Source organism: Homo sapiens, chromosome 6 (assembly GCF_000001405.40).
Source record: "Homo sapiens chromosome 6, GRCh38.p14 Primary Assembly".
Lineage (NCBI taxonomy): Eukaryota > Metazoa > Chordata > Mammalia > Primates > Hominidae > Homo > Homo sapiens.
In genome coordinates, this window is record NC_000006.12 from 93,089,975 (window position 1) to 93,107,974 (window position 18,000).

Consider the following 18,000-nt stretch of genomic DNA (forward strand, 5'->3'; position numbering starts at 1 on the left):
GACCAGCCTGGACAACATAGTGAGCCCATGTATCTACAAAAAAATTTTTTTGAACCAAAAAAGTAAGATAAAAACCTGTTTATTGACTTCTGAAAACCTCCAATTTTTGTTTGGATTTGAAATTCATCTATTTTGATCCAATCCAACAGCTTTCTTTAAAGTCAATCTGAATATCATTTAACAAATTTACATAAATTTCTTACATTTTCAAAATAACGTTGTTGTAAATAACGCTATTTGTAAAAAAAAAACATTGTTGTAAACCAAAGGAGAAATCACTAATTCTATTTCTACGATCCCCTTTGTTGTAAGAGCCTATAACTTATGATAGGAGAAATACAAAACAGAATTCTCTCATTCTCCCTTTTCTTCCTTTCCCTTCCCTTCTTTTCTTTCCTCTTCTCTCTCTCATTCTGCCTCAAACTATGTATCTTGGGCATGATCCAAAATAGTTTAAAAGAAAGTTAAAATATATACAACATAAAGCAAAATAAAATAAGTTATAATAAAAAGATTAATCCAAGAAAAAAAGTTAAAAATGAGAACCTTATAAAATATCATAGAATGAGAAATAAATTTCCTCAAGGATACCCATTAAGAGGACATTGTATAATATCATGCATTAAACAGTATCATCTATTAATACCACACCCTTATAATAAGTGGTACAAAGGACTTCAGAAATTTGTCATAGTATCTTCTCCTTAGTCCCATATTTCTTACCATCCCCACTTGGGCAAATGCCATCCTACAAGTGGGCTATCATGATTTTGGATGCCCTGGCTAAATTCTGGAGTATACTCTTTCTTATCTAAAATAATAGATGCAGTGTATATCTTCCAAATGATCTTGCATCAACATTATTTCTTTTGTTTAGCTTTTGTTAGAAACACTGAATACAAGATTATTCTTCTGAAAAGAATATAGACTATAACTAGTCTATGTTGCAACACAGTACAGATTCTTATGATTTAACATTCTGAAGAATTCCAAGAGATTTGATCCAACCCTTGTTTTCCCCTAATTGGATCCTTCTAGAAAACTAAGGGCTTCCCAACTGCCCATATTCAAGTTTACCATTTACAAGATTACCAGTAAGTAAAAAGAGAGAGAGAGAGAGAGAGAGAATGCCAAAATCTGAGATGCTTTTCATAGAAAAGAAATCAGCAGAGGTGCACAAATGTCAATTTTACTTCAACAATTACATGGATATAAATCAAGTATTAGGATAAAATTTGTAGTAATATTTAAATGTTTCAGACAAAATTTTTCTTATACATTTATACATAAAAAATTATAATTTTTCATTCTATTTTCTGAAAGATGTTTAAAACCATTTTATACTTACCACACTTTCTTTAAGTAAAATGAGCTTTTGTTGGCTATTTTTATTTTTGATTATTTGGCTTTCAAAATAAAGATTAGCTAAACCTAAATGCAGTAAATATTGATTTAAATTTTATATCAAAAGCAAATATGATACAAGCTCTACACAGATAAGTATTTGATTTCTATGAAATCCATTTATCTAAAGCTTAATCCAGTATTTGTTTTGTTATTAAAACTCATTAGCTATCCAATATTTTAAAATTAGAAGTCAGGACTAATATACAAACCCTCCTCAAAAGTTATAGGGTCCTGAAAAATTATGAGAATAAGTGTGGTCAGTAATTTCAATGCTCGGATATAACCTTGACAAAAGAGTACTTGATAATGAAGTCTTGTTTCTCTAGTCTTTCAAAAAAGGGAGAGAAATTAGAGGGAAAAAAAACCTAAGTAAAAAGGTGGTTAATGTAGACCAATGAATTTGTGCAAAAAAGAGAAGCCCAAATAAAAGCCCTTTTAAAAAAAATTTAAAGAGTTTTATTACAGGATGTTAGTATTCAAGACAAGTCAGAGCACCTTATACTTTTAATCAGATTTTGGGTAATTAGTTTTAAAGTGTTACTTGAGCATTTTTCTCATATTGTTTTTTGGGCAAAAGTGCTTCTCAGTGACTGTTTAAGAGATGTTACTCTGATCAAACAGTTTATCCTTAATAACTCGAGACATCAATCCATGGATAGCTTCTATTGTAGTTTTACTCCTGTCTCTGTTGGCTTTGGCAAGTTTGTCTTCTGATTTTCGATCATGTGTTTCTAAACCCAACAATGAAACTCAGTGTACCTGCCCAATATTTATTCCACAGAAGCTCAAGCAATTTGCAACCCAAAGAGAATTTGAAATACAAGACTTCTAAGGCATAATATTGTTTGCATTGTACAAAAACATCTTCTATTTTATTAAGCAGGATAGTCTGGTACTCAGAAGGTCCTTCATCAGGAGGTTTGTAGCCCTTTGGGTATGTTCTAAAGGCATCAAGATTCACCTTCCCTGCAGATATTGTTCTTGTTGGATCAATCACCACTGCTGTAAATGGTTCCCGGAACCGCTTATTGAGCAGCTGAGTACTAACATGATGCCAGAAAGCCAGCAGCCATGGCCAGGGTGCCTATAATACCATCCGATTGCATTTTTAAGGCGGCCAACCTTTTTGGCATTTTCTGTGTATGTGGCCATGTACTCATATGCAACAGCCTCAGCATTTTCTCGGGTTTCAGTGCCCTCCACAGGCAAAGTAAAACTGCCCATAATAATCGTGGTTTCACCATCTACCTTTCCTGGCATCAAACCCATCACTTCCAAGTTGCCCCCTGACCTGGCATGCATCATCATCTTCAGTAGAGCTAATGCTGAGATTTTGCAGTACTTTAAAGTAATGGTGATTGTTAACCCAGGGCTTTGTTGCCAGGATTTCATGCTGCTGCTTCTTGTCTATTTGTAGATTTCATGGATACTCTGAGTTTCTTGCATGTTGTTGGCCAGTTCCCAGGTTTTTCAGGCCATACGGCTCCTGGATGTCACCATCGATGAGGAATCAAAATTGTTGCCTCTATAACCAAGATGCAACTTTAGCTCCCTAGATCTCTGCGTGTGGGCTTCAGACCCTATGCACCACAGGAGAAAACTCTTTTTTAAAATTTTTATTTGTTTTATTTATTTATTTATTTATTTATTTATTTATTTATTGAGATGGACTCTCCCTCCATCACCCAGGCTGGAGTGCCGTAGCATGATCTCAGCTCACTGCAGCCTCCATCTCCTGGTTTCAAGTGGGTCTCCTGCCTCAGCCTCCCAAGTAGCTGGGATTACAGGTGCACACCACCATGCCTGGCTACTTTTTTGTATTTTTAGTAGAGATGGGTTTCACCATGTTGGCCAGGCTGGTCTCAAACTCCTGACCTCAGGTGAGCCGCCCGCCCTGGCCTCCCAAAATGCTCAGATTACAGGTGTGAGCCACCACACCTGGCCAGGAGCAAACTCTTAACTAGATTCTCGAGACAGCCATTCACCTTTACTTTTTTTTGTAACGAGTCTTTCACTGAAGTCATTTGGAGCAAGTAAATTTTGGCAGCATCACTTTAATTTCAAAATCAGTAACTGTATATTTTTAAAATGTTATTATCTATTTTACAAAAGACACTATTTTATTATGTGTGATATGATGATCTTTTAATTGAATACTAGAAATTTAGCTATGTGACTTGCAACTGATTTTTATAGCATTATTTCTATAGTTAAAAACATCTAAAGGCCAATTTTCCCGCTGTATTCAACTGATGAGTCAATCACCCAGCCATGCATAACCTCATAAACAATCTACTGAAACAATTTCACATTTACCTCCCTGCATTTTAGTAGTATACACTGGTGAGAAATCTCCCAAACACCTGAGGATAGCTTTGTTTCACAGTAAGTCAAAGAAAAGGTATGTAGCAAGTGTTGAGTGTTATATAAACTAAGGTTCATTTGCGTTGTATTCAAGCATTAAATGCATGGGATATATAAATAATATATATTTAGTACATTAATCCTCTTTAGTAGGAAAGGCAGCCATTCAGGCAAACCATCTTTAGTAGAGTAGATAAAATGAAGGCTGGGTGGACAATGTTGGTTGCCTGCTCCATAGCCATTGCTTCTTACTATAGCCTTGTTTCTTACTTGTGCACCCTGCTATTGTTTAGTTATTAGGCAGCCATCTGTCTCATTGGTCCCTCCTCAACTCCAGGGGCAAAATGTTGATTAGCTTAAGCCAATCAGAATAATCCCATTCCATTGACAATATTAGTGTAGAGTTATACGTGATTAAAAACCAGGCCAATAAGAAGATAGAGGCATGTGCTAGAAAAATTTTTCTTCTAAAAATATGCAAACTGGGCATTCATTCTATTCTGAGTATTCTCACATGAGTTTAAGATGCCTGAATCTGCCGCAGCTATATATTTGGCTAAGATTTGCCTCCTAAGAACACCTCATGTCAGAGATACCCCCAGTCTCATCTACCTCACATGACAAATGAATGTAATAAAAATAAATTGCTCTTATTGACATCATTCAAAGACAAATTTGCATGTATAGACTCACAAAATCTATGAAATTATTCTTACAGGGGAAAATTAAGAAATTGTAGCAGGCAATGGAGGAGATAGTTAAGTGATTTTATAATACAAGCATCCTGGCCTTTTCATAAACTTGAGTCTATACATCTCTTTGTTTGCATGTTTTATTTTTAAAAATATTTTTCCCTAAGTCTTCTTTATTTCCTTTCTTGCATAGGCTTTTCTTATAACTTAGATTGATTCTTTCCATGCCTTTCTCCATGCTCATACAAGGATATTATTTGCACACATAAAGGGATTATGGTTGGAAGAGTTTGTTGTTCTTAAATCTCATTGTGCTTATCAAAAGGGGATCATATATTTGATTTCATGCCATTTGCTTTTCTAACAAATTGTACATACCTACAAATAATCAGATGGCAATATAATGGCCTGAAAAATTATTCCAAAATGGATATTAACAGTAATTTCCCTGTTTAAGAATGTTGAGAATGTTTCCTTTTCCCCACACTTATAAATACAGCTACAGTAAAATTTTTTGTTCACATGTACATATGTTCACAGGCACTTCTATCAAGGATAAATTTCTATAGGTGGAATGACTGGGTAAAAAGTACAGGACACACACACACACACACACACACACACGTTTAGTTGACTATAGAATACATCTTATGAGATTGCTTACCAAAGGGACTACTATCTCTTCCGAGATTATTCTTTTGGATTTCATTGTACTATTTCATTTGCAGAGCCAAATAAAAAAATAGAAAGAAAAACTGAGTTTACAATACCATGCTTCGGTTTCCTCAATTCTGGAATTGCATCATGTTAGGTATCTCAGGACTAGATTATTTTGCAACCACTACTTTGCTACAGTGATACCACAACTCATCACAGCTTTTTATTGTTATTTTATTTAAAAACAAGCCGACTTCAAAGTTTTTTGGTATTTATTAATTTCTTCTCATTTACAAAAGAGGCAAAATACAGTACTCACAGATGACAAGTAGTTCAGTTTCTATTCCCATCTCTTCAATTTAAAAGTCAGCACTCAGAATTGACACTGCGCTCTTAGGAGGTATCTATTTTTCTGAAGAGACAGGTGTGTAACATCAGTGGGCAGACCTGAAGTGGAATTGGCAGTATTTCTTATCTTTTTCTTTTTTTTTTTTTTTTTAGATGGAGTCTCGCCCTGTCTCCAGGCTGGAGTGCAGTGGCCGGATCTCGGCTCACTGCAAGCTCCGCCACCCCGGTTCAAGGGATTCTCCTGCCTCAGCCTCCTGAGTAGCTGGGATTACAGGCGCGTGCACGCCCAGCTAGTTATTGTATTTTTAGTACAGACGGGTTTTCCCGTGTTAGCCAGGATGGTCTCAATCTCCTGACCTCGTGATCCGCCCGCCTCGGCCTCCCAAAGTGCTGGGATTACAGGCGTGAGCCACCGCACCTGGCCGGAATTGGCATAATAGGTTGCTTTCGTAAAGCAGGAGGACATAAAGATAGTTAGACTGGAGTCCAAGGAAGCTCTTTACTAGTTTTTTCCTTCACTCTGGAACTTGAGACTAGCAGACACATAATCACAGTTGGCATTCACCCAGATACTACTGGCAAAGAGGCTTCAGATGGAGCATCTCTCTTCCCTCGCGAGAAGCAGCCATGTTGGCAGGCTACCACATAGAGGGTTGTTGCCTCCCTCTTCTATCCACTCCTTAGACAGAGATCAGTTTCATCTGTCAGGCTGGCAACTTTAATATGCACAGAAATCCACATGAAAATCAGAGATTGAGAAGGATCTTCATTAGCAAGTGACCCCAGGGAGAGGAAACTTCTAGAAGACACAGGACATAGCATAGGGTGGAAAATGGAAGCGATATGGTTGTTGAAAGAGCTCATTACTAATGTTGAAGCGACTTATGCTACATTAAATGAAATACAAGACCAAGGTATATGAACAAAGTTAGGGAAAATGGAATTAGCACTTCACTCATAATACTGTTCAGTCCAGTCCGTGGTTGTCTTTCCAGCAGATTCTTCTTAATGAAATTATGGCTAAAATTGAATCTGCCTGATGTCAGAATATCTTGGAGTATGAAAGAGAATCATTCACTGCATAATGCCCTGTTGAGCATAACAGGCAAAGGAATATTAACCCTAACAGTTTTCAATATTGACTTAGCTGTCAGAGAGCCCTGAATTATAGGAGAAACTTTGCCATTATCTACTCAAAACCCAGGGAACTGACACCCTTTGTCTCTTTCTTTCTCAACTAGCATAATTCAAATATTCCTTAAAATTACAAAGATAAAATGCAATGATTCAGGTAATCTCCAGGAGGTATTTATAGGTGATCTAAAATCATTCTGACATCTCTATGCAATGAATTACACAGAATATTAAAAGCCACAGTTTTTAACAGGGGGTCTAGGTCAAGGCAAAATTGTATGTTATATGCGGGAGACAATAGAGAGCAACAGTTCAGATTTCAGAGTCGGGAGCAAGTCAATCTCAGTTAAAATTCCAGTTTCATCATTTATTTGCCATGAAACTTTAAACGAATACCCTTTCTGTGTCATGATTTCCGTATCTGCAGAATGTGGTTGAGAATAATTATAACACCTACATTAGAAACTGTTGTGAAGCTATAAGACAATGTTACAGGTACCCAGTAAATCTTAGCAAGTATCATTTGACTATTTGTCTTCCATCCTCCATTGCTTAAATACTTGATTACTTGTATCACCATCAACAGCTGTAAGAAGAAAGGTCAAGAAAGTCCCCATTTTTCTCTTAGAATTTAAGTCAATGTGTTACCTCTCTTAGTGCTATTTAACTCTTGAGGATTTTCTTTTATTCTTTCTTTCTCTAATTGTACAGTTAAGGAAGGGCTTTACCATCTGCCACAGATATGGCAGTAGCTATAAATGAATTGGGAAGGTATTTCAGGCCCAGAAATATGATTTTTGTATCACGGGGTAGATAGCCATGGTCTACCAATTTCACCTAAACATGTAGCCTGCATTCTACAGATACTCAAATAAACTAAAGCAGATATCAAAGCAATAAAAATTAAAGACTGGTATGTGTTTTGTTTTCTGAAAAAAAACTTCTGAAATGTTTGCCAGTAGAAGATTTTTATTTATGCTCCTTTATCTAAACTTTTCATATTCTTTTAATTCTATATAAATAGAAGTTATCAATCAGTTCTACCTTCCCTTTTCTCCAGGTCCCAAAAAGATCTAGAAAAAATAAAACACAAAAAAATTAATTAACAGAAATATCACCAAAAGTAACAACTTTTCTTTTTCAAAATATACTTAAGCTACATTTTCTTCACATTTTTATTAAATTTACCTCTTTTTTTGCTATCTACATCTGCATGTTCAGATGCAGTAGCCACTTAACTTCACATAACTACCCCCTGCTTAAAATATGGCTAGTTCAAGTTGAGATCTAATTGAGTGTAAGTTGCACACCAGGTTTCACAAACAATTTGAAAAAAAGGATGTAAAATGTATGGTTAATTTTTATACTGGTAATTTATTGAATGATGATATTTGAGATAGTTTGAGTTAAATAAAATATATTACAAAATTAATTTCACATTTACTTTTTAAAATTGTGGTTACTGGAAAATTGAGCAGCATATGGGTTTATTTCTATTGAATGATGCTGCTGAAGACTTACAGAAGGCAAACATTCCAGGTGCCAAAAAAATTAACTACAATTTTAGAAATAAAAATTTACTTTAGAAATTTAAATACAGAATTTCACTTCTAAATGTAATGGAGTATTGCTCTTGCTAAGGACAACTAGGGAAAACAGATTTATTATCGGTAATAAAACCCAAAATTAAAACCAAAAAAAGTCTGTTTGAAGGTATCAGAGAGCTAGTGAGACAACCAGCACTTGAAAGAGGAGAATCTTAGTAGGAAGGCCAATGCAGAGATGTGAACTGAAATTCAAGAGTTAGAGACCCCTGTGGCCTCTGCTAGGAAGGAAGGCAAGGAAGCCAACAGAGCTTCTGGTAATCTTAAAGAGATGAACAGACAAGAGTTGGAGTACAGGATTGCCAAACATCTAGGACTTGAGATCCACGATCTTGGAGATGTGGGAATGAAAAGGAACTAAACCCAATAGTAGTGGATTTCCACTTTAGATGTTGGTCAAATTATTAAACTGTTCAAGGGCAAAGGACTATTAGGTTGGTGCAAAAGTAATTCCGGGTTTTGCCATTAAAAGTAATAGCAAAAAAACACAATTACTTTTGCACCAACATAATACAATGTAAATCACAGTCTCTAAAATGTAGTATAATAAAGACTACAAGTTCCCTATTGCAATCCTTGGAGGACCACACCATATTGGGAAGAACCAGAGTTTGTTGGAATATTGGTAGATAGAGCCCCACTATACGTATCTGCCAGAGGAGAATGAACTTTCTATAAGTATAGCACCATTTAGAGTCTCTAAATTTTTTTAGATACAATGTTAGTTACTAAATTAAAAATTACTAAACATTTTAAGAGACAGGACCCAAGGGACAAAAAGTATACATAATCAACAGATGTATAGATGACCTGGTTAGTGAAGTTATCAGATATGAAATTTGATTTATATGTTTAAAACATAAATGACAGATACAGAAATAATCAAATGGAAACTCTATAACTAAAAATGCAATTACAGAATTTAGAATCTCAATAGATGGGTTTAATAGCAGGAGATAGGATTATGAACTCTAAAATAGGTCAGTGGGAAATACTGGGGTTACTCAGAGAGCAAAAATGATGGAAAGTGTGCAAAAGAGGCTAAGATACATATGGGCCACAGTAAAATATTCCAATAAGAAATATCATCAGATTCCTGGAAGGAGAGGAGAGAGACAACAGGCAGTAATCACATTCGAACAGACACTGGCTGAGAATTTTCCAAAACTGTCAAAAGATATCAACCTCAGAAGCCAAGAAGCCCTACAAAACTGACTAGGATAAATACGAAGAAATCACATTAGGTACATCATAGAAAAACTTTGGACAAACAAAGACTGACGGATAATCTTAAATGCATGGGGGTTCAGAGTTGGGGGGCAAGAACTAGCAGACAGCTCATTTGCTAGAAGAAGAAAAAAATACAACTTGGCAAATTGTGAAGCTGGATGAAATTAGGCATCAAAAGAGTCTTGCAAAGCTCATAATTCAACATCTTTGGAAAGGTTGCTGCAGATTAACATATGCCACATGCAACCCTCAAACTAATCCACAAAGAGAAATGGTCAGTTAGCTGTAACAAATTATGGTAATTACAAGGGTGCCTAAGGTTGTTAGTTCTCTGCTAACTATGGGGGCAACATCTCTCAGAACAAAAGAGCAATAATAAGTGGAAATTTTTAAAGATGGTTCATTTTTAAAACTGTTTTATTAGACCTTAACATTGTTCATAATTTTAGCTTAAGTTACTAATAGATAATGTTGAAAAATTCTTTTGAGAGTTGTAAGAGTAGAGCTGCTATTGTAATGATACAACCCTACTTCCTATTTATATAAAGGCAATAAACTGAATAGATCAGCGTTATAAACAATATCATCACCTAAATAATTTATAAACTACAAAATTGTGCCAGTTACTTCTTCTGTTTATGTTTGTTCCCATCTTCCTCTACTTCTCCTTTATCACCAGTAATAAAGGTGAGAAGAGTGACTATTTACTGCAGTATATACATACAAACTAAAACAGATCATAGCAGGAAGATGCCTCTATCAAATATCACTGAGGAACTCCAATAATAGAGAATAAGTAGAAAGGGCAAGATGCTCATAGCCATATGTGTATATGCCAATCATTGTATACTGTAAGTGTATTGGTTCCATCACTGCCTGATGTACTTTGAGACCTAGACCATGTGGTCTATTGTGAACTGAATTCACTTTTCTGTGGACTAACCTCTTATGATGTCAACAATCTTCAACACTTCTTCCTCAGCCATTTTTTCACTCATTCATTCATTTATTCTGCAGATATTTATTGAATACCCACTATGTGACAGGTACTATTCTTTTTTTTTTTTGAAACAGAGTCTCGCTCTGTCACCCAGGCTGGAGTGCAGTGGTGTGATCTTGGCTCACTGCAACCTCTGCCTCCCAGGTTCAAGCGATTCTCCTGCCTCAGCCTCCTGAGTAGCTGGGACTACAGGTGCCCACCACCACTCCTGGCTCATTTTTGTATTTTTAGTAGAGATGGGGTTTCACCATGTTGGCAAGGCTGGTCTCGAACTCTTGACCTCAGGTGATCCACCTACCTTGGCCTCCCAAAATGCTGGGATTACAGGCATGAGCCACCGCGGCCAGCTTGACAGGGACTATTCCATATATGGTGCCTAGATGGAAGAGACAAGGTCATTAAATAACTAATGATAAGGAGAAAAATTAGGTAGGGAAGAGACCAGAAACTGATGGGATGCAATTTTAGGTAGGTTAGCTAAGGAAGATAATAGCAAGATGAGAAAGTTAAAGATGGCCGAAGTAAAGAATGGAGAATTTGGGGGTGAGAATTCCAGGCAGAGATTCCAACAGATACAAGGGCCATAGATCAGGAGGAGGGCTGATATGTTCAAGAACAAGGAAGCCCATGAGACTGGAGCAGAGGGAGATAGGGGAATATATTGGGAGATGTGATCAGCAAGGGAACTAGGAGCAAGTTCATAAATTGTCTTATTAGGTCATTTAAAAACTTTGGTTTTTACTCTACATGAGATGGGAAGCCACTGGAGAATGCTGAGCAGAGGGGTTATGTGACTGAAGGTAGACTGTAAGGGAAGACTCTGGCTGTGTGGAAGACATACATTGAAAGAGGCTAAGCATGGGAGTAGGAAGACTAGTTAAGAGGCTGTTACAATAATCCAGGCATAAGATAATGATACGTTAATTTCACGTGGTACTATAGCAGATGGTGAGAGAACATTGGGTTTATTTTACAAATTCTATTCATGAATTCCATTCTATTTATTCATTCTATTTATTCATTTATTTATTCCTTATAAAATAAACCCAAAGGAGCTCATTCTCCCCTTTGACCATGAGAGAACACAGCAAAAAGCCAACATCTATGAACCAGAAACCAGGCTCTCACCAGACACTGAATCTACCAACACGTTGATCATAAACTCCTCAGTCTCCAGAACGTGAGAAAAATATTTCTATTGTTTATAAGCTGCCCAGATTATGGTATTTTATTATAGCAGTCCAAAGGGACTAAGACACCCATAGAGCCAACAGATTTTACTGATGGATTAGCTATAAGGAATGAAAAAAGTTAAGGATGACCATAAGGTTTTTTGTCTAAATAGCCAGGGGAAATGTAGCAGGCATCAACTAAAGTAGAGATTGTGGAAGAGCAGATATGGTGAATCTCAGTTCTGGACATGTTAAATTTGAGATATTGAATACACATTTAAGTGGTGAATCTTATTCTGTATTTCCTATGGCAAGGAAGAGTTTAAAAGTGAAACTAATTTAAAAGTAAGTATTCTGTAATTTTTCACAATTAATTATCTAGATTCAGTCATGTGTGGTGGCTCATGCCTGTTATCCCAGCTGCTCAGGAGACTGAGATGGGAGGATCCCCTGAGCCCAGGAGTTCAACTCTGCAGCCAGCTATGGTGGCATCACTGTCCTCCAGTCTGGGCAACAGACTGAGACCCTGACTCTTAAAAAACTTACTTAGATTCATAATGTGACTTGTTGGAAGATACACACCATTTCTATGCCAGAAAAGAAATCCATAAGACCCAATGTTGATTATTCATAGAACTTCATGGTTTTGAAGACATGATGTGGAATAATCAAATGGCTTCCCGCTATGGATATATTGAGTTAAGATAAATAAATTATCTTTCTCTGAAGTTACACATTTTGGATCATGTAAATCTGCAGTTGCCAGTCACCATCACTCTGATTGCATTTCATACTACCACAGAGGACTATGAGGGCAACTCACAGCCGGAAGGAATGCTGAGAGGTGGAAGGCAGAGTTTGATGTCCTGTGCCAGCCTTAACTAAAACAAACTTCACCGTAGGAGTTCACAGTTACCTGAGTCAATAAATTCCTTTTATTAAAAAAAAAAAAATAGACTATTTTGAACTGGACATCTCTCATGTGAAACAATACAAATGAAAAATATTTTATAAAAAATCAAGTCTTTTAGAGATTAATTCATTTCCACATGTAAAAATGGAGGCATATCATATCAAAATGATAACATTTATTTTGCTGATTTTTTTTTCAGAATTTCTTTGAGGAACAACTAAGATTGTGCAGTATAAAAATATCCACTAATTTTGAAACAAAAATTTATTAATGGTTTATTCTTACTTTTCTTAGAGCCAACCTTCAACTATCCATGTAAATGGAAGACAAAACTACTGAAGATAAAATTGATACCCCCAAGAAAATTCCAAATCTACACTGAAATCAACTACTTTCATTCCCTAAGTATTTTTCATAGAAATTCCAAGTTATGTGTGAGTAGTATTTCCATAATTTAACCAACTTCCTGTAGTCATCCTTCTTTTGTTGAAAAGACCTAATCTAAAATTGAAGTGACTGTGGAGAGAAAACCCAAGTTCACTGACCATGTAAATTCTATAATTTGCCTTGCATAAGTAGGAATTTATGATATTAACAATCAGGAGCCTAGAAAACATTCCAGGAGAAATTGAGTTAAAATTAAATCAGTAAGGCCAGGCACGGTGGCTCATGCCTGTAATCCCAGCACTTTGGGAGGCCGCGGGAGGTGGATCATGAGGTCAGGAGATCGAGACCATCCTGGCTAACACGGTGAAACCCCATCTCTACTAAAAATACAAAAAATTAGCCAGGCGTGGTGGCAGATGCCTGTAGTCCCAGCTACTCGGGAGGGTGAGGCAGGAGAATGGCCTGAACCCGGGAGGCAGAGCTTGCAGTGAACAGAGATGGCGCCACTGCACTCCAGCCTGGGTGACAGAGCAAGCCTTCGTCTCAACAACAACAAAAAACATTAAATCAGTAATATTATTGGCCAAACTCTGGATTTCTATCTTAAGTTTCCAGTGTTGCCTACTTTATAATTATGTATTACTTACTGTATCAGCCAGTGGATGACCTTACCTTTGGTTTTGCCATTGCTTTTAGTGGCAAAAACTGCAATTACTTTTGCACCAATTTAATAAATTCAACCGTTGAGTACAGACTTGAAATATTTTTTTTTATTTATGTGTTGGGTGTCTTATAAATGTAACAGTGGCTTAACAGTCCAAAAAACATCAAACTTTGTTTCATGCTCTTCATAAACTACCAAAAGGCATGCCTTTATTTTTAGCAGTGAATTCAGTATTCACTAAGCAATTAAAAAAAAAAAACTGTCAAATTTGTAGGGAGACATTTCCTTGAAAATATCATCTCATCTTTTTGCTGGGGCAAAAAGCTAATTTTTAGTTCTGAAAATAAACTTTTCTCAACCCCAAAAAGAACTGTGTCTAGATGAGAGTAAATTAAAAATAAAAACCTTTAGGTAATATCTGACGGAGAAAATATCAAGAGGTAGGTGATTGCTTTCCAGAATTCTTCCTGGGATTCAGAATGAAGATCATCCATGGTGTCTCTGAAGATGCTTAACATAAGTATAGATAGCATCTGGAGGAAAAAAAACACGAGATATCTTTACGTTAGCATTCCATGAGCTAGAGATATCAGCATTTTCTTCTAACTTCGCTTATTTAATTCTTGGGTAGCTCTGTAAGTCTAAGGATTAAAATGCCAGAAAGAAAACGAGGGCCTTAAGATAGAGTTAGCTATAGTCTAAACAAGGAGAGAGGCCCTGTGCATTATCCTCATGTGAATGGAGATTCCTTGGATAATGACTATAGACTGGATAGGGAAAAAGGCTTTGCACACAGCCACCCATTGTTCAGTCTTTATTAGAACCAAAATAAGTGGAGGCTTGCTTTTCAGGCCCACTCTGTGAGGACTGAAGAGAGGAATGTCACTGGATCCCAACAGTATTTGATGTCTTCATTTTCCAGGACTCTTCTGAGAGAGACCTGGCAGGCTAGAGCAGTTGACACAGAGAAAAGGCAAATCCTGAACCAAGTCACATTCCTAGTAATGAGCAGTAGAGCATTTCTATAATGATAAGGCACTTTTACTGCTATGGTTGAGTTAATAGAACATTGATGACATCACAGTTTCTTTAGTGAAAAAAATGAAAAGAAGGGAAGAGAAAAAAAGTCCCCAGCACAGCAGATAAGATATGTGACCAACAGAAACATACTGTATTAGGGCAAGAATGAATACATTACTAAAACTTTTAAACCATCATCTCAAACTTCTATTCAACTGGCCCATCCCTAGAAGGGTAGAAAAAAAGAAATAAACAGATCAAAATTAAATATTACAAGTTTTCTGGGTTGGCTATTTGTCAGAATTAGTAGTTCCCTTGGTCGTAGGTTTTTGGTGTGCTTTATCCTTTATATGACTATTCATGGATATACAGTTTTTTTTGGTGGGGGGGTTTAGAACTATGAACACATTGAAACTTAAAATATGTTCTAAATGTACTTCTAAGAGCCCCAAGATTGCGCCAAACAGCCATTTTACAGCTCTCTAGATTTCCACTAATCAGCAAAAGTTACTGGCCTTAGAAAAAGCTAAGTTCATTGTCCTGTAAAATACTGTGGGTATTTATATCACAGCGTGATACATCTCAGAGAGAAAAGAAAGCGGGTAAGAGATTTTTAGATCTATTACACCATTTAACTAAAAGAATGTTTATATGACTCACTGCACAAAGTTTAAATACATGAGGCAATTTTGATTGTTAACTCCCTGAACTTGCTGGCAGAGCAAAGTGAGACCAAGACATTTCTAAACAGTGTGCTCTGGTATTGTTATCTACTATAAGGCACTTTCTGTCTTATCAGCTGCTGCAGTCATCTTCTTAGCTCCATAAAACCTGCTCACTAGCATGGGTCATTTTTGTTTATTTGGAATTGAAGAACATTAAGTATTAGCTGGTTACTAGTTAGGTCTGTTTCTCAAAGTTAAATAAGAGGGAACTTTAGTGATAAAGTCTGTCCTCAAGAAAAAGTTTGCTTAACCCATTCATTCTGTTTCCCAGATATATTTTTATTTAAAATATATTATAGCTATCTATTATAGAAATATGAACAGTAAAAACAAGAAAATGTTCCAATCTTAATTTTCCACATAACTACTCAATTATTTTAAAGTATTTCTTTACAGATTTTTAAATGAAAACTTGCACATGGTTCAAAATGAAGTTTTGCATTCCGTTACTTTCCTTTATTATGTTGTTTTCTATGTTGCTTTATATCATATCAAATTGCTGCATCGTAAGGATATAAGAACATTTACTTAATTTTTACCCTTTTGTTGATTAAGTTGTACAGTATTCCTGTAAGCCTAGTTGTAAAGTTAATTCTACACTTGCTTCTTACATTTTTGGGTGTGTCTTTCTCATGTTACAAAACCCCAGCGAGTTTCTCTTCAATTTGTTGAAAGAGAAGTCTAACTTACATATTAGCATTTGGAAAAAGTGCTGCATTTATTTTTGGTTAGCTTTAAAAATATGCACATGATAAAATTATTCCAAGATATATGTTAGTGTTGCAGTGCTGCAATTGTGATTCAATTCTGTCGTGGGACCCATACACATACCCAGACCCACCCAGTATATTCATTCTATCAGCATAAGTCCTATCAGGCAGGAAAGTTAATTCTGCTTTGGGGGATAGGGTAGAATTATGATAACCAAGATAACCAGGGTATTTTTCCCATGCTTTCTTAGGTGAAAGACTAAGCTGTTCTAGGGAAAACTTGCAAATGTAAAGAATCTAAATCTAGATAGAATATACAATCCGCCTTTTAAGGGTGTAAGGACTAGTTAACATTTATCTTTTGGCCTCTTTCAACCATCTCCCTCCACGCTTTCCTCTTTTTTCCTCTTCACTAGCTACTTTCCATCTGCTGACTCCTTACCCTGGCTATTAATATTTTTAGGAAAATTGAGGGCTTGGCACAGGTGAGTTCCCACTCTCAGTCATGATCCTACTACTGCCAGGCCTGGCTCAGGCTTTCTCTGCTTTGAGGCAGGTCTAAATTCAGCCAGTTGATGCTTTTGCTATTTTTTCAGAAGTGGCCAACTACTAGGGATATCAGGAGTAGGGCCAACATAGAGTTGGGGTGTTATTCTGGAGATGGATAGCAAAGACACCTCTTCATCTTATCAGTATCCAATCATGAGAACAGAGGTTTGACCCCAGACCTCATGAAACTAGTCTTAGATTTTAAACTGAGACCAAGACTGTGGCCTTGGAAGTGTTTTATTAACAAATTAAGAAAATTTTGATTTTAAAAGCTACTTATTCTTTAAAAATAATTTAAATAAAAAAAGATCAAACATAAATTTGTTAACTATGTAAGAATGCAAGAAATGCCCTACTATCTGCCAAACTGATAGTCTATCCAGCGCAAAGTTCTGCCTCTGATATTGTTATCACATGAACACTAGATGTCTGTCAGCAGGTGAACTTCAATAAGACCCACCCTCAAAACCTGCAAATTAAAAAACCAAAAATGGTTTTACATTTATAGCTTATAGAAAATAATAATCTTTTCACCTACTAGTAATCTCTTGACCTACTTTCCCCTTCAATTATTGAACCAATTCTTTGCTCCTCTTTTCAGCAAAACTTCTCACTGGAGTTGACACTTACTTTCTTCAGTTTCTCTCCTCTCATTTTATCTTGTTTATTTTTAATTTTTATGTATTTAATTTTATTTTTTTTAGAGACAGGGTCTCACTCTGTCACCCAAGCTGGAGTGCAGTGACACAATCACTACAGCTCACTGCAGCCCACCGCAGCCTTGAACTCTCGAGCTCAAGCAAACCTCCCACCTCAGCCTCAGAAATAGCTGAGACTACAGGCACGTGCTACCACGTCCAGCTAATTTTTTTAATTTTTGTTTTTGAAATTTTTAGTAGAGATTGGATCTTGCTATATTGGTCAGCCTGGCATCAAGCAATCCTCCCAACCTCGGCCTCCCAAAGTGCTGGGATTATAGGCATGAGCCCCCATGCCTGGCCCTCTCTCATTTTATCTCATACACACTTTAGCCATCCTTTTAACCCCAGAACTCCCCTGAAACTGCTTTTGTCAAGGCCACTGATGACATCTAGATTAAAAAATCTCATGCCACTTCTCAATCATTTTCTTAAAAGTTTAGCAGCTACATTTGGCCCAGTTTTTCACCCTTCTTCATGAAACGTTTCTTCATTTGTTTTCCAGGATACAATATTTTCTTGTTTTTTTGTCCTACCTGACAATATTGCTGGTTCCTCTTCATCTCTCAGACTCCATCTGTAAGATCCCCTAGACTTTTTCACTGTACTCCCTCCCTCGGTCATCTCAGTCAGTCTCAAGGCTTTAATACCATCTATCCATTTATGACTCCTAGTTTCATACCTCCAGCCCAGTCTTCTTTTATTTTTCAGGCTCAACTACTCTCT

General features: G+C 36.4%; 1 pseudogene; it reads right to left on the bottom strand.

Annotated features, from left to right (window-relative positions):
* Positions 1,853-3,012, bottom strand: COPS5P1 (COP9 signalosome subunit 5 pseudogene 1; annotated as a pseudogene).